General features: G+C 38.6%; 1 protein-coding gene across 1 annotated transcript in view, besides 2 other annotated features; it reads right to left on the bottom strand.

The window, feature by feature from the left end:
* TRUB1 (TruB pseudouridine synthase family member 1) overlaps positions 1–23,968 on the bottom strand; it is a 39,482-nt gene extending 15,514 nt beyond the window's left edge. The window contains exons 1-4 of the mRNA NM_139169.5: positions 23,624–23,968; positions 19,420–19,518; positions 11,014–11,069; positions 2,356–2,437 (exon numbers count right to left, since the gene is read on the bottom strand). Coding sequence (NP_631908.1) covers positions 2,356–2,437; positions 11,014–11,069; positions 19,420–19,518; positions 23,624–23,909 — 523 coding nt within the window. The 5' untranslated portion in view covers positions 23,910–23,968. The remainder of the gene's footprint in view (positions 1–2,355; positions 2,438–11,013; positions 11,070–19,419; positions 19,519–23,623) is intronic.
* Positions 8,847–8,896: a silencer, noted in NCBI's record as "silent region_2849". NCBI's record gives its function as "represses an Ori minimal core promoter by ATAC-STARR-seq in GM12878 lymphoblastoid cells {active_cell/tissue: GM12878}" and the evidence as "EXISTENCE:reporter gene assay evidence [ECO:0000049][PMID:35858748]".
* Positions 23,597–24,136: an enhancer, noted in NCBI's record as "active region_4093". NCBI's record gives its function as "activates an Ori minimal core promoter by ATAC-STARR-seq in GM12878 lymphoblastoid cells {active_cell/tissue: GM12878}" and the evidence as "EXISTENCE:reporter gene assay evidence [ECO:0000049][PMID:35858748]".

The following is a 25,718-nucleotide window of genomic DNA, read 5'->3' as shown; positions in this document are numbered from 1 at the left end:
AATCACTTGAACCCAGGAAGCAGAGGTTACAGTGAGCCAAGAGTGCACCACTGCACCCCAGCCAAAAGACTTTTAGTCTGCTAATATCTGTGTGCTTACATATGAATGCACCTACTTTATTATAAATTACTTTTATTTCTTACTTATATTCCATTTACTACATCATATTGATTTTTCTCAATGTATAAGTAAATTCAAGTATCTCTGAATTTTATTTCAGGATAGTAAAGAAGGCATTATAAGATATTGGTCATAGGTCTCTGTATTAGGTCTCAGAAGGCTGAGAATATTGGTCAGAGTTCTCCATTAGACAGTAAGTTCCTTAAGGACACAAGCTAGGTCTTACATTTATCTATCTTTCCCTTGGTACCTGCTATAGCAGCTTCAACAAATAAAAAATATTTGTTGATTTACTGAAAGCACACAGAAAAATCATGCCAATCAGCAAAATTCTCTGAGCTCTCATTTTCCGGGACTATAAATACTATTCAATAAACTGTAGGAAGCTCTTCTCTTCACAGCCTGAAAAACGTTCTTAGTTTCTCTATGATTTACTGCATCATTACAATGAGATGATTTAACAAACTGAGCTTTCTTTAAGGTAAGTAAATAAGGTTACAAATTACCTAATACAGCATAGAGCTTTTTAAAATACTAAAATGCTTAAGAATAGGAAGAAAGGATATGTTTAAGTATTTTTGTCACCCTGGGCCCCTTCCAGCATCCTCAATGAATTACACTATCATGTAACCAATTTTAAAACCCCAAAACCTAGGTCATGGTTGACAACTTCCTCGCTATCCTGTCCAATCAACTAAAAATCAAGTCTTGCTAATTTTACTTCCTAATCATGGGAAATTTTTCTAATAGGAAAACTCTGTCTCTACCACTGGCACCCTGGTCCAACTTACCATCATCTCTGCTTGGACTACTATAAGAGCCTCATGACTTGTCTATGAGACCTCCAAATTCATTCTCCTCCAATCAATCCTCATAATCACACTATGAGGTTGCTATCATTATTGTCATTTTGGAGATGGAAAAACTACAACATAAAGAGACTAAGAAAATTTCAAATTTGCGCAGCTAGATAAGGGCAGAGCTAGAAATTAAACCCAGATTTGTCTACTCTAGTGCGCCTTATATTTTTCACCACGTGGTACCCACACCCCCCAGCCTTAATTATATTACCCCAGGACTACTGTTCTGAATAATAATCATTCTCCTTATTATGGTTTGGTAAATGGAGTCAGAGATACAGGAGACTTAATTACATAAGTACTTATAAATACTTTAGTATCCTCTGGAAGTCTCTGACGTCCTCCTATTGCCCTATGCCTCCTTAATCTTAAAGTCTTCTGGTTGAAGGTTATAGCTGGCTTTCAGTTAAGTGAGGGTCTGCTATTATTTATTAATAATAATAATTCCAAGAATATTTCAACATCTGTTTTTGAAAAGCCTTGAAATCAATCAGTAATTTTTCTTTTCATTATGTTGCTTGATTAATTGAGCAAGATACTAAGCTACATATAAATGTTAACAGAAAAAATGAAGCTATTATGAACAATAAAAAGGTTGGCCTCACTACTGGGGCAATATGCAGTACGTAATAAGGATAATCAACACAAAAATATAAGGGGGCCAAATGCTGGCTTGCCTATGACTAAGAGATAACACTAAACAAAAAAACAGTCCACAAATTGGTGACATAATGATGCAGGTGAACTGACTTAGAAAACTGCAATTGCTGCATTATAAACAGCATAAGCACTGTGAGAGTTGCTAGGAGACCATTTAATTTATCTATTCTTCCTTACGGTAGTGAAAGAAGGGATAGTAGGAAACTTAAGGTGGGCCCCAGTGAGTTCTGGTTTACTTCCAGAGAAATAGCTTGCCCTCTGTCCTCTTTTTACATAGTCCGAAAGCACAAAAACATGACAAGTTTTAAAGTACTAAACCTGGTACATTTATTTCAACAGCTGACAGGTAATATATTTTTTTTTAATGGCAAGACAGATGAAATCTAACAGAGTATCTCTGCTTTGTTTCTCGTTTACTAGGGAAAATAACCTAAATCCTAGCCATACATGCTTTTGCAAGGAGGTTATTTGGAAGAATAATTCTGAACACTTAAAACATCACTATAGAAAAAGAGGCAATCACAATAAATCTTTATTCAAAAACTCCTATCAAGTAAGCAACAATGCGATAAACAATTTCCAATCTTCTTAGCCCAAAGAAACACACTGAGAATTAAAATGGCTGATAATATCAGAGATTTGTTTTAAAATGCTACCTGCACAGAAACTTTTCCTAAATGTTAGAAAAGAGGCCTACATTAGATGAGCTTCATACCGTAAGGTTTTTCTTCTGTTACCCTCCCCGTAGAATCTAGTGTATCAGTAGCTTTCCCCAGTTCTCCAATGGCAGTATATCTCTAGAGGAAGGGAAACAAGAGAGAAAATGGGCCGTGAGGCAAACAAAAACTGTTATGCATGTCTTGAAGTTTACACAGAATTTCACTACTACTACCAACCTGATACAAAATACAGGCTAAAACAACAGACTGCAATTGTTTTGTTTTTAATATGTGGAAAGCAATTGTGTAAACTGAAGAACATTAACAAACGTCTCACACTAGCCAATATGAGAAAGATAAACCTGATTTTATTGATAATTATGGCTTAATAATTATGACCATTATTATTGTAAGCAAATTTCTCAAACCACCTTTATACTGAGAAGTTTGTTTAAGGAAAATGTTCAAGTCTATCCATGAGTAGAGAGAATGGTACAATAGCCTTGACTCCATGGTCATCATAAGATTCAATAATCTTCCCACATATACAATTAAAATTAATTTTAAATAAGCCAACTTAGTACTTCTTACATGAAATACTAAGACAATTCTTAGTAACTAGGTCATGTATTAAACAAAAGCTAAATCTGTAGAAAAAGAGCAAAACCAGTATAGTCACAGAATTAGTGACTTAACTATTAAATGTGTTTTTTGTTTGTTTGTTTGTTTGAGATGGAGTTTTGCTCGCTGCCCAGGCTGCAGTGCAGTGGTGCGATCTCGGCTCACTGCAACCTCCGTCCCCCGGGTTCAAGCGATTCTCCTGCCTCACCCTGTGGAGTAGCTGGGATTACAGGCACCCGCCACCACGCCCGGCTAATTTTTTGTATTTTTAGTAGAGATGGGGTTTCACCATGTTGTCAGGCTGGTCTCGAACTTCTGACCTCAGGTGATCCACCCACCTCGGCCTCCCAAAGCCAAAGTGCTAGGATTACAGGCGTGAGCCACCACGCCCGGCCATGTGTTTTCTTAATAAAGATAAATTACTACTTAAGATCTCAGGAACAAGAATCGTTTCTAAGAACTGATCTTTATTCACAAGTGAAGAATTAGATCATTCTTAGTTACGTGAGGATTGTCTTATTTCTCATCTTAGGACACACTTGTAGTACGTACTCTTTTCACTTTGGTCAAACGCAAATTTTATTTGGGGCATCACATGAAGTAGTGAAAAAAGTGCAAGAACTTTATTTCCCACTGAAAATAATCTGTATTTATGTGAGCAATTTTATAAAAGAAAACTCAAAGTACTTTGCAGAAATATAAGCTTATTCATGACAAATTTATGAGGCTAGTGAAGGGACCCAAGACAAAAATGAGAAAAATATTAAAACTTCAAAACCTTGTAAGTATGCAGACATTTTATAACAGCTTAAGGCCCTTCGATGAAATCACCTTAATATTATCTAGCTCAGATTTTTTAAAAATAAATATAATACAGAAGGGAATATTCCAACGCATTTCAATTAATTTTTTTAAAGTTTCATAGGTATTGACAAAAATTAGTTTTTTGTAACTAAACACAGTCTCATCACCTGAGACACCCATTCCTGCTTCTATATTTTGGGACAATCAACCTCGACTAAGCATACCACAGGGGGAAGTATGAGAGAAGTACAACAATGGTAACAGCACAGGCTCAGGGTCAACTGGCTGGATTTGAATTCTGACTGTACCACAATTTGTAGACCAAGTTAGTCTTTCCGGCTGGAGCTTAATTTCCTTATCTTAAAATGTGGAAAACAATAATGCCTCATGAGAAGAAGCAAAGAGTTTAGAGTAACAATATCTAGCCCTGGTAAATAACAGATAATAATACCATCATCATCTTTATTTTCTAAGAAAGAAAATACAGAATGATTCGCAGTTAACAGTGGCTAGAGTTGACTCATCTGGTTACAGTCAGCTCCCATAAGGAAAGCAAAGCATCAAAATGCTTTATGATTTTTTTGTCTTTAGAGTCTGTTTAGTTGCATAAGAAAACCATGGTGCAATCTTGCAGACTATGCCTTGAATGTATCTGCAGTATTCTGCTCTGCAACGAGTTTGAACTAGGAACCTTAACATGTTTCCCAAGTATGCAATGCCCATTCTAGTCTCTGGACTCTTGGTGTTTTGTGCACCTGGGGCACATATGCCACTTCCCTGGCCTTGAACTCCCACTCTTCTCTAAGGATCAAACCTTATTCAGCTTTCAAAGCCACCCCTTAATCCATCCCAACTTCCATTTACCCACCTCCACAGCATGACTAAGAGTAGGTGCTCGATACAAATTCCATACATAGAAAGAAGGAAGGCATATATCAAATCCACAAATTCGATCATGTTTCTTAAGGACTATGAATGTCCAAAGTATTCTCCTAAGTGCTAGGGAAGGATACACAGATACATAAGATAGATTGCTCTCCCTCTAAGAGGTTACAGTGTAACAGGAAAACTTCAATAAACACAACTACTGCAGAGAGGACTGGATATAATGGCAACAACAGACATGTCTGGTTTATCTCACTGAGCTCTCATATCACACATATCACACATCTTAGCACATGATGACCTACAGAGATATTCACTGTTTTCCAAGTATACTTTATTGATCCTTACTTTCTGCAAGTATGAACTCTCAGCTAGAGTTTCCCATTGCTCATCTATTGTGTTCTTTCCTAAATAGAAACACAGTAGCAGCTTAATAAAAAGTTGCTGACAGAATGATACACATGCTAGAGAAGTGCCTATGTGTGCAATTCTTCACATTTCACCATAGTTTTGAATATCTAGATTTCATCTGCTAAGTCTCAACCCACTCCAGGGTCTGCAATTATATTGTATGTAGCTACGTGCTGGATTCTTTTTAGGGGAGACAATATCTAAATCAACATTCTCAAATCAAATCAAATCAAAATGTTCTCAAACATTTTGCTTTCAGAACTCCTATACACACTTAAAACTTATTGAGAAACCCTGGCACACATTTTTTAAAAACATGTTATATCTGCCTAGATTTATTGTATTAGAAATTAAAGCTGAAAAATGTTTAAAACTTCCATTAGCCATCAGAGCAATGATGTCATTGCACATCTAGTAATCTCTGAAAAACTCTACCATGTATTTGTGGGATTGCAAGTTAAAAAGGCAAAACTATGAAAATAGTTTCAATTTCAACAGACACCCTGAAAGAGTCTCAGGAGTCCTTAGACCACACCCTGCGAACCGATGATTGAAATCAGCTGTCTCCTAGCTTTCCCTTGTCCTGGCATCTAGTTATAATTATCCTTCAATTTTATTCAATTATCCACAAACCATTTAGAAAAATTCACCCACACAGTTAAGCCTTCAGCTGAAACAAAGCCTCACGACCAAAAAGATATTGGGATAGAAGAAAAAAGACATGGAGATACACACATTCAACCCTAACATTTTATCTTATGGAGTCTAAAATATTTCTTTTCACTGGCTTAAATTCTACGTAGAGTCTGTGCTTTGGAGTTGTTAATTCTCCAAGACGTATACCTGGGAACCGTGAATTCTACTACTGTATTCATTACAATGTAATTCTACTGCAACAAAAGAGAGGTCCTGAAGAACATTCCATTGACCTGTGTACTCTCTGGGACTCACAGTTTCTCACTGGTATTATTCTACTCTCTACTTTACTCATCGTCAAGCTCCCTAAACCCCACAGCAGGTATTAGCTAGACATCTCTAGCAGCAAATCAGCTTCTGTTCTGTTTAGGAGAAAGAAAAATGTTTCTACTACAGAAAGTATACACACAATCATTTCCTTGGATCTCAACTGAGGTGTGATTTTGAAAGCTTGTGATTTAAACCTTCACAAACAAAATAGGGATATTACTGAGGATGAGAAAGAACACTTTTTAAAAAACCTATCAAACCAAAAACATGTGGCTTTGAATGTCTTCATTAAGAAGGAACAGTCCTTTTTTATAGTTCATAAGTATAAGCCCTTTAAAATTTTCAATACAGTATTTATGAAATATATGAAAATTAATAGCGTATATAGAAAAGGTACAAACTGGACTAGCCTCTGGAGAAAACTGATTAGAAATGCTGAAATCTTCAAGAGTTGGCTAAGTTTCATAGGAGCATTACTCAAGCCACACTTTAGAGTTCTCATAACTGGTTAACCTAAAAATGTTACTGTGTTCTTGGGGAAAGTTACTATCCTTTGACCACACCAAGAAGGGGAAACTTCATTCACTCCAATGATGACACTTGTTTAACTACTGGAGGGGGATACAAAGTTGCCTTCTGAGGAGATGCTGGCTTTGCCTGCAGGTGCCACTATGGTTTACCTGCACAGAGATATGGAGGTACCTTTATATCTGGACATGCTAGTTAGATTATTCAGGTTTTCATAACCTTTCCATCTGGTTTCTAAAGCATTTATAAAGTAACCAACTTTGATCAACAATATAGAAAACTAATAAAGACAGCACTCCAAAACCTCATCTGTTTTCTTCTGTTCCTTCTGTCTGTTCCTTCAAAGTACGACATCTGCTATCCAGCTTTTGCTGAATGACTGGCTCAAAGAAAGTGTAATTTAGGGAAGATATAAGAGGGGCTATTTGCCCTCCTCTAGGTAAGCAACGTTTTATACTTAGATCAACTTAGGCCAAAGGAACACATCAGCCTAACCTCTCAGAATTTTACCTAAACTGTATTTTATGTAGCTCCATTTCTACATCTGTTGTAAAACTATTTTTGAAAATCACCATCTATCTGTCATTTAATATCTCTTATTGTCAGAAACTTCTTTCTGGCTTTAATGTCCAAGGAAAGTCTGTCTCTCCCTTAAAGAACTGGCATGCTTTCTCTTTCTGATGAGTGCAATATTTTGCCTACATCACCAGCAATCACAGATAGCCATGAAAAAAAAAAAAGAAATTAACTGTATTCAAGAGTTCCAACAGAACTTGCCTGAGTAAAATTAATTTCAGGTGTCTACAGAACATGTGGCTAGAAAGCTCCAACAGGCCTGGACCTCAAGAGAGAGACTTGGGGATAAGTAAAATACTTGGGAATAGTAATAACAGTATTTAATGAGCAATTTCCATACACAAGGCACTGTACAAAAAGTTCACATGCTTTTCACACACATTATACACATAATCCTAAATGATCAGGCACAGGGAAAAAAAAAAAGACTTGAGAAATATGATCACTGGCAGAACAAAGCTCACTCCAAGGCAGGAGAGGAAGACAATGAGGAACACAGAGCAGTGGCTCTTTTCTTAACTTTTACCCTGATCTGAATGGGAGGAAATGCAAGAAATGATTTGGGTGGTCTGATTAGTGTCTAGTCTTCACAGATGGAAGCAAAATAATGTGATGGCCTAAAGATTTTACTTAAAAGCCAGAATTTCATCTAGTAAGTGACAGTAGTTGTATGAAGTGGCACCATGTTGAAGAAGATTCTAAGGGTGTTTCTTGATTCAGCAAGAAGAAATGTTAGGCCATGTTCAATTAGCAATATCTCCAATTACGACTGGCTAGGGAGAGAAGGCTGTTCTGTAATATGGCTGTAACAAGAACACTGAATATTTGCCATCCTAGAACTAAATATTTCTACTCTTGACGTAACTCCATCCTACACATACCAGAAGTCTAATTTTTCTAGTTGCACTGTGATGCAAATAAAAATTCATCTGTCAAAATAGGAAGTGAAGAAAAAGTGGACATTAGATCTGGGCCAAGTTAGGGGGCTGCAGCCACATTTTTTTTTTTAATGAAATAGAAGGAAAAGTATCAAGAATACATCATACATAGGGTTAGAGTTGGATAAAGTTTGGATGTCTGCCCCCTCCAAATCTCATGTTGAAATATAATCCCCAGTGTTGGAGGTGGGGCATGGTGGGAATTGTCTGGGTTATGAGGGCGGATCCTGCATTAATTGCTTGGTGCCCTCCCTGCAATGAGTTCACGCGAGATCTGGCTGTTTAAAAGAGCCTGGCACCTCCGCCTCTCTCTCTGTCACTCCCTCTCTCACCATGCGACATGGCCACAAGTGTAAGCTTCCAGAGGCCCTCACCAGAAGCAGATACCAGTACCTTGTTTCTTGTACAGACTTCAGAACCATGAGCCAAATGAACCTCTTTTCTTTATAAATTACCCAGCCTCGACTACTCCTTTACAGCAACACAAACAGACTAACACAAAGTTGTTTGATAAAATTTTTCCTTTTCATAAATGTATGTATCTATATGGTCATTACATAAAATATGTTTCTTACTATGGGTCTTAGTCAAAAAAATTTTGAAAGTCACTAGATAAGATGATCTCTAAGATTCCTTCTAGTGCTTTTAAAAAAAGAAAAAATATTTATTAACAGTTTTTAACTACTTTTTATTAAAAAATAATCTTCAACATTAAACTCTTAATGATTTAGTTCTTTTAACAGGTACATAAAATTAAAAGGATAAGAAATATAAATAGCTAACAAGACAACGATGCCTATTTTTGAAATACCTAAGAACTAGGTTTCTGTAACAAGACGTGCCTGTGGTATTCTATTTATGTTACAGTCATTTTGAGGATCAGTGATTTCACTGTATGACATTCAGCTTTCGTAGCTGAACAGCAAATTGGCTGTTACAAAATTTATACCAGAGTCAATGATGTATTTACATTTTCAGTCATAATATTTCTGAAAATATGCCTGAAATTTACAAGTAAAATCTTTCAGTAATATATAGTGTGCTGTGTTTGTGGTTTGGGGGAGGAGGGGTGAACAACGAATATCTCAATGAACTCAACATATTTTATCTTGGTAAAAAAACCCAAACAAATTCCTTAACGTAAATATATCTTTTTTATTATTAACATAAAAGTGACTTGTTTATTGTATAGATTTTAGAAAATACCAAATAATGTGAAAAAAAAATCATCCATAATCCCATATTAAAGTAAACATTGTTCATCTTTGGGAGTTCAGAAACAAATATTAAACAACTGGCAAAAACCAGTATCAGAAACAGATTCTAAACTCTATGTGTCAGTAAGCACAGTATAAAAATTTACTGAGAAACTGTCAAACACCTTCATTCTAATGCAATTTTTATACTCTGTAATTTTTCAACACCAATATTTTGAAGATTACAGAGCAAGCCACACTGAAGCTTTTCATTTATCAGAGGCACTAAGATTCCTTCCAATTGAATGGCACAGATTTTTATGCCAGTTGATAACCAAAATGAGACATCACATGCAATATGTTCTCCGAGGCTTTTTAAAATCAATCGATCAATCAATCAATCAATCTATGTATCTATGTATCTATCTACCTACCTACCTACCTACCTATCTACCTATCTACCTACCTACCTACCTACCTTACTTATTATTTATTGAGATGGAGTCATCTCACTCTGTCACCCACGCTGGCGTGCAATGGCGTGATCTTGGCTCACTGCAACCTCCGCCTCCTGGGTTCAAGTGATTCTCCTGCCTCAGTCTACCGAGTAGCTGGTATTAAAGGTGTATAGCACCACGCCTGGATACTTTTTTTGGTATTTTTAACAGAGATGGGTTTCACCATGTTGGCCAGGCTGGTCTCGAAATCCTGACCTCAAGTGATCTGCCCGCCTCGGCCTTCCAAAGTATTAGGATTACAGGCATGAGACACCACGCTCGGTCAGGGCTTTTATTTTAATACTTAAACCACTACTACGTCAAGTGTTTTCCACAGGCCAGTTATCTATAATAAGTTCAGAAAATGAGATTGCGTAGAAACTTATTTAGCAATTTTACATTGCCGTATTTTAATTATATTTTACAAAAGTCATCAATCAGTCTGCAATGAACTGGAAATTGTTTTTTAAATGGTCTTTGACAACAGATTTTTTTAAAGAAACAAAAATCATTTTATCAACAATTTATATCACATTTAGAGCAAGAGTTTTAAAACAAAGTTTATTCCAGGAACATAATGAAATTTTTCGCTACCTCTTGGCATACTAAGCTTCCTTCCACGTGCATTTTCATTGACCCTTAGTCCCAGCACTTATAACCAGCACCTAATTACTCATTAGGATACAGATATTACTCTCTCTTTGAGAGATGGAAGAGACCCCTTCTACCAGCAGTTCACAGCTTTCCAGCCTCTCCTGCCTCCAAATAACCCCTTCTCTCTTCTATCAAGTGCCTGGAAAAGTGCTTTTGGATCTATTCAAGGTTACTCTCATATATGAACATACTTTATCATCTTAAAGAGGCCCTACTCTTTTCTTTAATAAACATTTATAACCATTGAACAAAGCATATTTTTGCTCAAAGGGCACAGTTTACAAAATGGTATTGTTTCTATAAAAATTCCAAGGTTTAAAAAAGTCTGTCACTAGAGTTTATGACCTCTAAGTCCCAATCATCTAAGAAATATGATGTTTTAAAAGTCTAAATATAATTTTGTTAAATGATGAGCACTGTAGCATTGTTTCTTTAAGTCTAATTGGTTTTTCAATTAAGAATTTCCAATTTTCAGTCTCGATATTTTCAATCTCAGATATGTTTATAGACATAATTAATACTCAGGAATGATACCCATTCATGCAGTTTACTCAGTTTATTTTTTATTTGATAAAAACCCAATACATGTAGATCATTAAGAACATTAAAGAAAAATAGAACTATTTCAGTATTCTTACCTTGGACCCTGACAACATACTGGTCAACATTTTTGTTCCGCTTCCAATTCCAACAACTACAAATCAAAGAAAGAAATATTATGACACTCTGTTCTGAAAACTAGGTTTTTAAAATAGCTATATTTTTTGGTCATAATTTCCCAGCTTAGGTAATGTGAAGTGGGAAAGAACAGATATTTAGCAAAATGTTAGGGCTCCTATTACTCCAAACAGTTGAACTTGTCATGCAACTAAGAAATTCTAAAGAAGGGACAAGAGAAGACCTTTCTCCCCATTCTCAAAGTATTAAACTCAGTAGAAACCTTAACCCAGCCAATTAGACAATGAAGCCTTAGAACAATCTCAAAGGACGCACTGGAATTTTATATGGGCACCAGTGAAAAACACACGGCACAATTAACCATGTTCAAGTGGGTATGATAAAGTCTTTTGACAGAATTCATTATTAAACAAAGCAAAAGCCATTATCACAGCTAATGAACCATTTAAAGATGATTAGCACCCAGCAGTATATACAATCAAGAAAAGAGAAACATAACAAATCAGTCTAACACAAAGAATACAAGGTAAAATGAAGGCTGAAGAATGTATTTACAGAGCCCAAAGTACAACAATGGCCTACCTTTCTCTTAAATTTCAAACATTATTCATACGTCAACACATTTCACTTGGTGAGGGTGAGAGGATTTAGTCACTTCTCTTTTTGTTAAGAAGCCACATTTTTGTAAGTATAGAAATATTTGTCATCAACAGATATAACTGTGCATAAGAACACAATACAATCACCACAATTCAGAATTATAAGAGTAAACAAGGACTACTGATTGGCAAACTAGAAAAAATATCTCCAATATTTACAGCAAATACCATTCAGTGAGTTTACCATGTATCAGATTCTACTCTAAATGCTCTCCTTTCATTATCCCATTTAATCCTTATAACAACTTTAAAAGGCCAGGTGTGTTGGCTCACGCCTGTAATCCCAGCATTTTGGGAGGTTGAGGCGGGCGGATCACCTGAGGTCACGAGTTCAAGACCCACCTGACCAACATGGAGAAACCCCGTCTCTACTAAAAATACAAAATTAGCCAGGTATGGTGGCGCATGCCTGTAATCCCAGCTACTTGGGAGGCTAAGGCAGGAGAATCGCTTGAACCCAAGAGGCAGAGGTTGCGGTGAGCCAAGATCACACCATTGCACTCCAGCCTGGGTGACAAGAGCAAAACTCTGTCTCAAAAAAAAAAAAAAAAAAACTTTAAAAGATAGTATAATTACCCCTGTTGATAGATGAGGAAACAGGAATAAGAGACTAAGAACTTTGTCCAGCATCTCACAACCAGTACCTGGTAGAGTTAAGATTCAAACCAAATGGTCTAAGAACAGACCCCCCTTCCTTTCCATTCCCTCTGCCACCTTAACTCACCTAGGCTTTCTCCTCACTGCAACCAGCCTACATCCCTGCAAACCTGACGGTTCTACATCCTATCCCTTCCTCTTCCAATTCATACCACTTCATAACCATTTCTGAAACCCTATTTTTCACATTACAAAGCCCCCCAAACAATCCTTAGTAGGGTCCCAGTGCCTACAGCACCAACTCCTTATTAAAGTATTCAAAGTCAATCCTTTGAAGCCCAGCTCAAGCCCCAACTCATTCATAAAGTCTATTCCAACCTCCTCAAAACCTCTATGACACTCATCTGTATTGTCCTTCTAAGTCATATAGTTCAAGGTCTAAGATCAAAAACAGTCTGTCCTCAGTAATCCTCTGAAGAGCATAATACTCTTCAAATGACAGAACTTGTAGATACTGCTGCTGATGAGGCAAACAGGAAAGATTCAATGCGACTTGATTCCATTCAAATAAATCTCCAATCAATTTTTCTTGAACAACTACTATGCACATAATCCCAAGAGGAATACTTCCAATGGAAAAACAAAGAAACCTGTGACACATTTCCTAACTCTGAAACAGCTTATAATCTCATCAGGAAAATAAAATACAGAAAAATCACAGTGCTCAAGAAATGTTGCCTAATGAGTGAATAATGCTAAATAACAATATGATAGTATATGATTAAGTGTCAAATGAACAGAGAGAGAACCGCTGCCAAAGCAGGGCAAAGGTGGGAGCATCCTAAACGGCTAAAGAGGCCGGAGAATGCTTCATTCAAGCATTTCGGAGTTTGTATTAGGCCTTTGAAGGATGTATAGGGAACACAACAGAGAGAAGAGAAGCATGTTCTAAAAAAGAAAATAATTGCACAAACTCTCAGATACAAGGATGAGAACAGTAGGTTTATCAACTGAACACAGGGTGTCTTAGAAGCAGACTGACATGTTTGACTTTAACATGGCTGAAATACTGAACTCATGATGGTTTCTGAGCTAGTTTAGTGACCCAGAAGGATAAAATTTAAAAGAAGCCATCTTAGAGTTACCCAGCTTAATCCTCTCATTTTAACCTAAGAATAACCAAATGCCATTGAAGTGAGGTGATTAGTGAAAGCAGAATTTTAGGAAGACTAATATGGTGGTGGCATATAGAAAAATTATCTGGAGTTGGGACCTAGCCAACCAGCAGCTTTTCATTCACAGGTTAGTTTCCCGGACAGAATTTTTACTCGGCATTTTTTCCCTTCAATCATTCAAAATTGTATCCAGTACTTATTGTGTAGGTACAGAAATAAATAAGACCTGGCTTCAGCTGTGATTTAACAATATAATAGGGAGACAGATATTAACAAAAACTAAAAGAACAAAATGAAATTTTACATTAGCAGTATAGAAGAGCAGCAGGCAGGCTTCAAAGGTAGGAAATGGCATTTCAGCTGAACCTGGAAAGGTCAGTAGGACTTCTACAACCAAAGGTGCTGAGAGAGATGAGCAGCTTATAAAAGAAAAACATGAGCAAAGGCACCACATTTGAAAAGGTGTGGAGAATTTAGAGAGCAGATGAATAACGGGGTTTTCCATGCACTGTTGCACAATTACTACTCTCCTACTCTATCTCCCAAGTGTTCTGTGCTCACTCAAATGTCTTTTCCGTTAAAAAAACAAAAACAAAAATAACTATCTCCAAACTTATCCAATGTCCTAGTATCCCATTCTCAAATCAAAAAGATAGAATTTGTTTATGATGAGAGTCTCTTTAGGACAGGCATGGACTCTATACATGTATTTCCAGCTTTCTGTAGGATCATCTTACAAGACCTGTATCTTTCCAATCGTAGGAATCTATTTTAAGAATCTGAAACATCTGGCTGATACAGATGTGTGGGTAAAAACTAAAAACAAAACAAACAAAAAGTTCTATCTATAAAGACATCTCTCACAAAATCAGTTCTGACAAAACTCTGGTGATAACCTCAGTGACCTCAAATAGGGAAATGGTTAATAAATGGTATTTTAGCCATATGATGGAACATTTTATAGCCATTAAAAATAAAGTTTACAAAGAGCTTATCAACATGAACAATGTTTATGTTACAATGTTAAGTTTAAAAAAATGGATATATAAGTATACACAGTGAAGTAGATCTCAACTTTAAAAATCTGCATAGACAAAAAGCTACAAGGAAATATGGCAAAAATGTTAACTGACTATTGATGAAAGGTGGAAAATGGATAATTTTTTATTTGCAACTTTCTTGTATTTTCTAAATTTTCTCACTGTTTCTATAACCTCTAAAGTTAAAAAAATTTTTTTGAAATGGTATATAGAAATTTTATTTACATTTTAAGTGATTTATGATAAATAGGTGTATTCCTTTCCTATTGCTACTGTTAACAAATTACCAATCTGTCTTAAAACAATACAAACTTTTTATCACATAGTTGGGGAGGTGAGAAGCCTGAAACAGGTTTAACTAGGCTTAAAATCAAAGGGTTGGCTTGACCGTGTTCTTCTCTGGAGGTGCTAGGGGAGAATCCTTCACTAGAGCCTCCGTAGAGGACCTTTTTTTTTTTGCCTCCTCCAGCTTTTAGAGGCTGCCCCCATTCTTTGGCTTGTGATCCCCTTCACTCTTCAAAGCCAGCAACCACATTACTCCAACCTCTGCTTCCACTGCCACATCTCCTCTGACTCTCTCTTCTGCCTCCTCTTCCACTTTTAAAGAATATTGTGATTACATTGGGTCCACTTGGAAATTCCAGGATAATCTATCTTAAAGTCAGCTGATTAGCAACATCAATTCCATCTACAACCCTAATGTTCCTTGTGATGTAACCTAATATATTCACAGGTTATGGAAATTAGGACACAGACACCTTTAGAGGGCCATTATTTTGCCTACCACGTATTTTTGAGAAACTTGTGAACCCTCTAGCAATTATGCTATAGAATTATAAACCTGAATTTCAGGTTATAATCTTAAATTGTCAGCTAAATTCTTAATCTGCACCATTAATATTGCAAAAAAAAATGTTGAAAGTAAAAGTATATTTTTTTTGCATAGGTCCAGTTTTAGTTTTGTTTGTTTGTTTGTTTGTTTCAAAAAAGACCTTTTGGCCGGGCATGGTGGCTCACACCTGTAATCCCAGCACTTTGGGAGGCAGAGGTGGGCAGATCACTTGAGATCAGGAGTCCAACACCACCCTGGTCAACATGATGAAACCCTGACTCTACTAAAAATACAAAAATTAGCAGGGCATGGTGGCAGTCGCCTATAATCCCAGCTAGTCAGGAGGCTGAAGCAGGAGAATCAGTTGAATTTGGGAGGTGGAGGTTGCAGTGAGCTGAGATCACGCCACCGCACTCAAGCCTGGACAACAAGAGCAAGACTCATCTCAAAAAAATAAATAAATAAAAATAAAAAAGACCTGTATACAGCACTTCACAGGATAAAGTATATATCTATATACTATAGGTATTTTGTAAAATATTTTTGAAAACCTTTTGACTTAGTTTTGGTAGACGTTATCTTCTTTTAAGAGATGAAGACACGTTCAGTGAAGTTACGAGATTTTCTTAGGATGTATACAGTTAGTAACTAAAGCAGCCAGTAGCCAGTGTACAAACCGAAGTATGATTAGAGTTCAGTGTTTATTTTATCACACAATCAAAAATCGACTTCTCATAAGTTTCCAGAACTGCTAACTTGGACAACAAACATCCCTTACTCTGTGACTAAACACCTACAATTTTTTAAACTTTCTCTCTCCTCGGAAATCACATGCATTAAAAGAAAAATTAATACATCTGACATATGAACATATTATATCATCATAAAATTCCCTGTGTGATCAAATATAAATTGAGCCTCCAACCAGAAAACTGTTTCCAATACAATTTCTTCCACGCATACAAATCTCAGCCCCTTCACAATACTAAAATGGAAGCTTCAACAAGATCCCTTAGGCCAAGAGTGTCCAATCTTTTGGCTTCCCTGGGTCACAATGAAAGAAGAATTGTCTTGGGCCACACACATAATACACTAACGATAGCTGATGAGCTTAAAAAAAATAAAAATCACAAAAAAACTCATGATGTTTTAAGAAAGTTTACAGATTTGTGTAGGGCTGCATTCAAAGCTGCCCTAGGCCACGTGCAGCCCACAGGCCAAAGGTTGGACAAGCTAGCCTTAGGTTCAGGGTAAAAACTAAACTTTCATTCACTGCCTTGAATATCACTATTTTCTGCATGCCAATGAAGAACCGCCACCCGAAATTAATAGAATTGATCTATTCGTAAACAAGCAACTGATCTGATCCTCTCTTTCCTTGTATTTGTGGTGCCATGCCTGGAAAACAGTAAAGCAGAAGGGTTAGAAACACAGGCTTCAACTCAAAGGCCAACTCTAATCAACTGGTATAGGCTACTGAAGTGCTAAGCTGGTAAGAATCATGAAGCCCTAATTTCTGCCAAGAGCACAGGGCATGAGGAACAAAAGCAGGAGCACCAGGTATCTGCCATCCACAATAGGGCAGATGATTTGGAACTGAGCAGATCTGGGCTCAAATCCTGACTTTGTCACTCACTAATTCTATGACAGTGAACATGTTACTTTATCTCTCAGGGTCTTCCTTTCTTCTTCTGTAAAATGGGGATAGTAATAACCTCTCTTATAGGTTACAATGAGAATTAAACTATAGAACTTATGAATACCCAAAACTGAAGACCTTATATACAGTAAATGCTCAATAAATGCTTGTTATTATTAACTGGGGTTTTTGTTTTGTTGTGCTTGTTTTTTTGGGGTGCAGTGGTGCAATCACAGATCACTGCAGCCTCAACTTCCCAGGCTCCAGTGATCCTCCCACCTCAGCCTCCCAAGTAGCTGGGACTATAGGTATGTGTCACCACACCCAGCTAATTTTTTAATTTTTTATAGAGATGGGGTTTCGCCACATTGTCTAAGCTGGTCTTGGACTCTTGGGCTCAAGCAATCCACCTACCTCGGCCTCCCAAAGTACTGGGATTATAGGCATGAGTCACTGTGCCCAGCCTGATTTTTTTCTATTTTATGTTTGTTTATTTATTTATTTACTGAGACAAGAGTTTCACTCTTGTCACCCAGGCTGGAGTGCAGTGGCGCGATCTCAGATCACTGCAACCTCTGTCTCCTGGGTTCAAGTGATTCTCCTGCCTCAGCCTCCCGAGTAGCTGGCATTACAGGCACATGCCACCATGCCCGGCTAATTTTTGTATTTTTAGTAGAGACAGGGTCTCACCATGTTGGCCAGATTGGTCTCGAACTGATTTTTTCTATTTTAACCTCAAGTAAAAATATTATTGCCAACATAAATCTATAATTTTAGAAAATACAAAATCATACAGTATATAATGTTCTTGAAGCATACTATTTTCTTCACCGATTTTATCCTTTTAAATAAGCGCTCATTTACTTTGGATAGCTTAGATCAAGGTTTGCTGTTGTTTCTTTGTACCTAATTTTTGCTCTAAATGAAACTGAATAAAATATAAAATACCAGAGCATGTAAAAAGATAAGTATTGTTCCATAAAAGTTTGTTTCTCATATGTCGGGAAGGGGGCACTGAGAGGGATCCCAATGTATGTAGGTAGTTCTGTGACTAAGGATGCAGTTACAGAGTAAAATATACCCTAGCCTGTGTATACACACTTTAGCAGTCCATTAAGTTGGACTTCAGAATCTCTACCAGGTGCAAAAAAAAAAAAAAAAAAAAAAGATGGAATAAAAAAGGATAAAATATTTTTATTCCCTTCGATCAATTCTACCAATTTTCCTTCACAAGCAATAAAACGGTCAACTAATACATCTCCAGCCGAAAATGACTTACTCTCAAGCTTCCCCTTCTCAAGAGAGTTGATCTCAGAGATTAGATTAGAGATAGGCAGACAAACAGAGCCTTCTACCTTGTCAGGAATCCCCAAGACCAGCCCACATTCGAAGATTGATATATAGCTCAGAATTTTACAGTGATGTAGTAAGAATACACAGCTGGACCATAAGAGAAAAAGACACAGAGAAATCTGGGCACAAGCTTCCTTATCCTCTCTCCCTCCTGTGAGGGGATGCTCAAGCGTGCTGCTTTCTCCAACAACAAAAAAAGCGGTAACACATGTGCAATGTTTCTCTCAGGGAAGCTCATTAGAAACTCAGTGCCCAAAGCTGTGTTTTGTTTTGTTTTGTTTTGTTTTGAGACAGTCTCCCTCTGTCGCCCAGGCTGGAGTGCAGTGGTGCGATCTCGGCTCACTGAACACTCTGCCTCCCAGGTTCAAGTGATTCTTCTGCCTCAGCCTCCCAAGTAGCTGGGATTACAGGCACATGCCACCACACCCAGCCAATTTTTGTATTTTTAGAAGAGACAGGGTTTCACCATGTTGGTCAGGCTCGTCTCGAATTCCTGACCTTGTGATCCACGCGCCTCAGCCTCCCAAAGTGCTGATTACAGGCATGAGCCACTGCACCCGGCCCCAGTGCCCAAAGCTTTTATTGGGGATTTGACAGGATGATCACTCAGGCACCCTCTGCCTTAGCAGTGGAACAAAATTCCAGATTCCTAGAAGGAAAGCTGGTGTTCTCAGAACATCTGAGGCACAGCCAACCAGCCTTATCAGACAGAGAAGGGTGGGAACACTCCCAAAATCCAAGTTCCCAGATACCAACCAAGGGCAAGCTGTCCAAGCAAGCCTTTCTAAAGATAGTAATTTCAGGCCTGCTATGTTAACTCTTTTCTGCACAGAGAGAAACCTTTTTTCAAAGTCCCATCCACACATAAAAGTAGCTATTTCTAACAGCCTTGTAGGCCTTGTACCATTTAAGGGCTTCTTTAAAAGATGGCACTATATATATCCAGTAGATCTGAAACATTCCAAAATGACTGAAAAATAGAAGGCTTTAGTCAATCTATCTGTTCTCAACCAGTGTTTCTTTCTGATATTAAGTGACAGTGGACACTTAACTGCCTTTCATATCTCTTACCCAGAACTCCTCGGGCTGCGCTGTCTAGAGTCCCTCCATGCCCAATTTTCAAAGTCTGCTTTTTCCTCTTGGTCCATTCTGGAGAAGGCATTCCAGCTTCTATGAGAGAAATGGGGATGAAAAAAGGTGATCACCAAGACAAATGAAGTAGGATCTTCATAAACTTGGGAGGAAAAGGGGATGGCATTTTCAAAACAAACAAAAAGTATTATACAAACTTTACATGTTAAGAGACTATGACCTCATTACTAGCAAAGAAAAGATTTTAAAATGGACATTCCCTAAATTATAAAGAAAGAGTATTCCAAAATCAGCTATCAAGACAGTAGAATTCATTCTCTAAGAGAAAAACGGCATTTTTAAAAGGTGGGTAAATATCCAAGCTAACCCGCAAAAATCTAGTAAATTCTTGGTAGTGGTGGGCTGTTAGATAGAGAATCATGAAAAGAAGTTAATTTTTATATAGAAAGATACTTTTAAAAGTCCTCAATTTCCATTTCTGAATCTCTTCCATGGTCTTTGCTGCTATCTCCAGCTACCTAACATTGCGAGTACATCTCATGCAGGGCTACTTCTAAATACACTAAATTCCCAAACTCCCTGCATTCGCTGTCTCCTTCTCCTAACCAAAATTTTCAATTCATTAAAGAAGCGAATCTAGGCCGGGTGCTGTGGCTCACACCTGTAATCCCAGCACTTTGAGAGGCCGAAGCGGGCGGATCACGAGGTCAGGAGATTGAGACCATCCTGGCTAACACGGTGAAACACCGTCTCTACTAAAAATACAAAAAATTAGCCGGACGTGGTGGCGGGTGCCTGTAGTCCCAGCTACTCAGGAGGCTGAGGCAGGAGAATGGTGTGAACCTGGGAGGCGGAGTTTGCAGTGAGCCAAGATCACGCCACTGCACTCTAGCCTGGGCGACAGAGCAAGACTCCGTCTCAAAAAAAAATAAATAAATAAACAAAGGAAGCGAATCTCAACAAAACGTTATGTGGAAAGCAGCTAAGATTAAGTTGCACCTTAACTTCCTAAGCATTTAGATTTTTAAAAAGAGGATGCCAGCCCGGCTTATCTCATATTCCTGTTGTAAACATAAAGTGAGCCGGGCACAGTGGCTCATGCCTGTAATCCCAGCACTTTGGGAGGCCGAGATGGGTGGATCACTTGAACCTGGAAGTTTGAGACCACCCTAGGCAACACAGGGAAACCCTGTCTCTACCCAAAATAAAATACAAAAATTAGGTGGGCATGGTGGTGTGCACCTATAGTCCTTGCTACTGGGGAGGCTTAGGTGAGAGGACTGCTTGAGCTCAGGAGGCAGAGGTTGCAGTAAGCCAAGACTGTGCCACTGTATTCCAGCCTGGGCAACAGAGTGAGATCCTGTCCTGTTTAAAAAAAAAAAAAAGATAATGCAAAATAATGTTACTTGAAAGTACTTTGGGGAGACAGAGCCAGTGCTTCCTTCTGGATAAATATAAATTGTTTTTGATGATGGCATATAACATACTGAGAGAGTATTGGCTATTAGACTTCAAGTGAGAAAGAAGAGAAAAGCAGGAACTGCTACATTGATCTATACCTGCCCCCAAGCCCATCAAACCTTCCTTATCAACACTGACACTGAGCAGAAAGAAAATAAAGCAAAGAAAACGAAACGAGTGGACAGAGAAGGGAGGAGGGAAAACAAAGCAACAGTGGAAATGCAGAAGCCAGATTAAATGGCCAAAAGGATATGCTGGGTGGCTCGGCCTCCCAACAAAATTACCACTCTACTGAGTCAGAACCATGGTCTCTGGAACACCCTGGCGTCATTCCCTAATTATGACATCACCATACTTAGAAGGGTATGGTTGTCTGCTTTGACATAAACTTCTAAGGCCAGACCTCAGTTTCAAACCCTTGATCTGTCACTTGCAATCCATCATGGATCTCTCACTCATAAATTAACAGAAACCTTTTGGGGAACTCTTTACATTTTCAACTTGACACCCCTTGGAGTAAGAAGGCCCCATAAATATACTATCTTCCCTTTGTGCCCAAATATACCTCCTTCTAACTTGCAGACGTACTGCCTCTACTATATAAAGTGGGGAATTTGGTTCACCCCACTGAACTAAGTATTCGTGGATTTTTATTATTTTCTAGCTATAAAATTCTGGTACACTTAGGGCTTTGAAGGATCCCAACAGACAAACAGTAGAGATTGTAGCATAATAGGAATCAATGCAAAGAAAGACAAGGAATGGTATTAGAGGACACAACCACTGATCATGGTTGTCAAACATGGCATTAGAATGTAGGTATCTTTAAGAACCTTCCCAAGGCCGGGAGTGGTGGCTCATGCCTGTAATCCCAGCATTTTGGGAGGCTGAGGCGGGCAGATCACCTGAGGTCGGGAGTTCGAGCCCAGCCTGACCAACATGGAGAAACCCCGTCTCTACCAAAAATACAAAATTAGCTGGGCATGGTGGTGCATGCCTGTAATCCCAGCTACTTGGGAGGCTGAGGCAGGAGAATCACTTGAACCCAGGAGGGGAAGGTTGCAGTGAGCCGAGATCTTGCCATTGCACTCCAGCCTGGGCAACAACAGCGAAACTCCATCTCAAAAACAAAAACAAAAACAAAAACTTCCCAAGCAATTCTGACAGCCAATTACAATGACATTTGGAAAGCCCTAGCCTAACTAACATAAATACAAAATAGGCCAATCACAAGCAATATAGAAATCGAGGATAATGAGAATGTCTCTAGCTAAAGGTTCTAGCCTAGCAAGAGCCTTGAAACATTTTAACCAAGATTCAACAAGAAACTTCAGTTCTTAGAGGCAGATTAGCCAGAAGGCCAGAATATGGCTTTGTCAGAAACTTGTCTGAAAGAATGGTAATCATTACCTTAAGGATAAAAAAAAAAAAAAAAGAAAAGAAACCCAGAGTTTAGCTAACAAATCAGGAAAGCAGCAGTTCTATGAAGGAAAACTAAAAAACTATGATGATACCACAATACATATCCTTGATGCAATTCCTCACTTTGACGTCCTCTGTATGACCCATACTTTCAGGCAACAAAGCAAAACTTTAATAAAAGAATAAGTAGTCGTGATACTGGAATTAAACATCTGCAGGAGTGTACCTATTTGCCCATAAACACTTAAATCTGTACTGTCAGTTATAATTCCCATCAGAATAATTTGTTTTTGCATTTTTTTAAAGTGTAAAGTTTTCCATGGGACACTAAACAATGTAAGAAAGTCCCTGTTACTGGTTTAATGGCGAGACAGAATACGGCCAAACTCTGGAGGGCCTTGAATAACCTAACTAACTAGTTTTACCACCACAAGGTGCAGAAATTACTAGGCTATCAGCTCAGTTAAGGTAAGAGAGTTATCTTTCATCTTCAAGTCTCTATAGGCTAGCACAGACCTGGCTTATTGTATATGTCCAATGAACTTAAGGATCCTGGATGCTTTATGTGTGAAATCATCCGAGCTGATTAACGGGGTGATTCTCTAGGCTTTTCTACTATTTTCCCAGTGTACGTGAATAAACGAATCAATAAAATGAACACTCTCAGCTTAGTGGCCAAGTTATATTTAGTGTTCCTCAAATGTGGTCCATAAACTACTTACACTGGAATCACCTGGAGCAACTATTTAGAATTGCAGTTTCCTAAAAATACCCCGAACTCTCCGAATCACAATCTCGGACAGGGCAGGGATTAGGAATCTGTATTTGTACAAGAGACTCTAAGTAATTGTTAGGCCCATTAAAATGTGAAAACGACTATATTAAGTCTTGGTTAACGAAGTATATCTGCATTTCCAATACATTTTGAGGAATGCAACTTTAGGGGTGCAGAACCAGTACTTCCTTTTGGGGTTCATCCACATGAACCCAACAAAAGCCTCCTGAGGGATCGATCAGATTACAGAAAACAGGTCTGCACGCCCAAGGGCAGGGTTTTATTGTGTAAGTACGGGATTTTTTTCCTCCCGTTGAGAACTACAACTGCCAAGTAGGCTACAAGAGTTCGTGCCAGGGCAAGTCCAAGCCCGAGATGCCCGAGATTCCTGTCCAGAGCTAATTCAATGGTCAGTCTCCCTTTCCCCTCCTTTTGTCTCTTGAATCACGAGCGTCGCAAAAAGCCTAATGTGCTTCCCCTCTCGCAGCGACCGCCTCAGCCTGGTCCCCACCCGGGCTGCAGTACCTGCCAGCAGCTTCTCCTTCAACCGATTCAGCAGCTCGGCTGAAGTGGGCCCTTTGGGCTTGTGCACGGCGAACACGCCGCTCAAGGACAGCAGCTTGGTAGCCAAAGCGGCCTTGGAGACCCTGGCTTCGGATCCGGTCCTGGCCGCGGCCGCAACCACCGCGGCTGCAGCCCTTGCTGACGGGGTCGCAGCCATTGCTGCGACCGTTCCTGCAGTTTCAAGGACAGGGGATGTGTCTGTTTTCAAAGACGGCGAAGACACCACCGCCGCCTCAGAAGCGGCCATACTTTTGTAGCCCAGACCTGTTTCATCGTGGAGGTGCACGCTGATGATGCAACAAGAGTGCGCCTGACAGGACCCTCTTCCTCATACCGCGAAGCTGCGCAGAACGGAGAGGTCGCACGGACTTGTGGGAATTGTAGTCCATGGCCTTCCCATATAGACCAAGAGCTTGCTGTGCCCTTGGACTTTAAATAGAAAATTTTAAATGTTGACTTTTCCTGAGGCTTGTGAAGATCCATGGCTTCCTGGGCTCACTGCTTCATTGATTGTATTGTGCTCTTACATTCAGGTTCAGAATTAGAAGACATCCAAATGTGAGCTCTATTAGAGCAAGGAACTTATGTACCACGTTAACTGAGACATTCCCAAATGCCTCACATGTTGTAGGCACTTAAATAAATATTTGAAAACGTATAAATAAGTATGAATTCTTCAAATTCCCCGAAGAAACCAAGCCAATGGTAAATCACTTGTGCTTATTTTGATGCTCTTCATGCACTCCTGTTCACCCTCCCCAAACCCCCACTGACCCCACTACAATTTTTAATAATTCTGATTTTGAATATCAGCTCTTCTGTGGGTTGAATTCCTTAGTACACTTTGTTTAGATATCAAAAGGTATTCTTGCAATTCATAAACTTTAAACCACTTCCCATTTGAGACCTTCTCCCTAAAAGTTATTCACTCCCTAACAAGATTGAGGAATATTGTTTTGATTCCAGCACAAGGCAGAGTGGAGAAAAATTACTTCTGCACCAGAAACATTAAATGCTATCATAACTATTGTGAGACAGATAAAGTTTGCCCTCATTGTTTTTTAGGTTTCTTTACAACCACTCTTTGTCCTCATCATACTCTTGGACTTTAATATCTAGTATTTTAGTGATGCCCCTTAGCTGCTCACAATCACCAGTTATGGGGTCCCATTTGAACTTGCACCCATTCGTGCAACAGACACATGGCAGAACAATTTATTAAAAGGAAAAAAAAATCTTTGAGGGAGTTTTTTCAGGGTGGAAAGCTGAAACTCCTAGAAGGAAGTCACTTACTCTTGTGGTCTATTATAAAAGCCTAAGCTAACTGAAAAGATTGGCATATCACAGGATTAGTGGACACCTGGCCCTGCTTCAAGATGTTAATTTTTCCACAAAGATGTTGTGACTTCAGAAGGGATGACTGCACCCAAAGGAGCATGGTGTCCATTAGCCTCAGGAAAGAGTTCTCTATTCTTGTGCCATGGAAGCAGAGAGCCAGGGACTTGCAGGGAAGGTTGCAAGGCTTGATCAATGATGACTTGGATGACTCCAAGGCACTTGGAGATTAGAGGCCTTTTCCCAATTGTCCGGACATCAGCAAGCCTCCCTATTTCTCTTGTGGCTCTGGGGGTGAGGGATGCAGAGGGAGAACAGAACTAGGGGTAACATATGATGCTTATATTTGAATTTTCCATCAGCCCAGTGTAGGACCAGAGTTAATCTGATTTAAAGAAAATGAAGAAATGTATATTTCTTGCATGTTTGATTTCTGGGATGCTAGGACACAACAAAATTAATGCTACTCTGCTATTATATCGGCATTCTTGGGATCAGAAGCACCAAGCTTTGTTTTTCTAAGGTAATCAACATCTCCCACATTGGGCAGGCCTTGAATTCACAGGTTTTTTTTGCTCCAATACATGTATGAGTTTGGGCTCTTTGGTCAACAGAAAACTGATTCATACCAGCTTGGGGGCACAGGGGGAGAAGATTTATCAGAAATACACTGACACACTATTCAGAACCTAGAAAGTTCTCTGTCTCTAGCTGCACATCC

This window comes from Homo sapiens, chromosome 10 (genome assembly GCF_000001405.40).
Source record: "Homo sapiens chromosome 10, GRCh38.p14 Primary Assembly".
NCBI classification, from domain to species: domain Eukaryota; kingdom Metazoa; phylum Chordata; class Mammalia; order Primates; family Hominidae; genus Homo; species Homo sapiens.
Note: the sequence above shows the minus strand (reverse complement) of the source record. Positions and strands in the feature narration are given on the sequence as shown.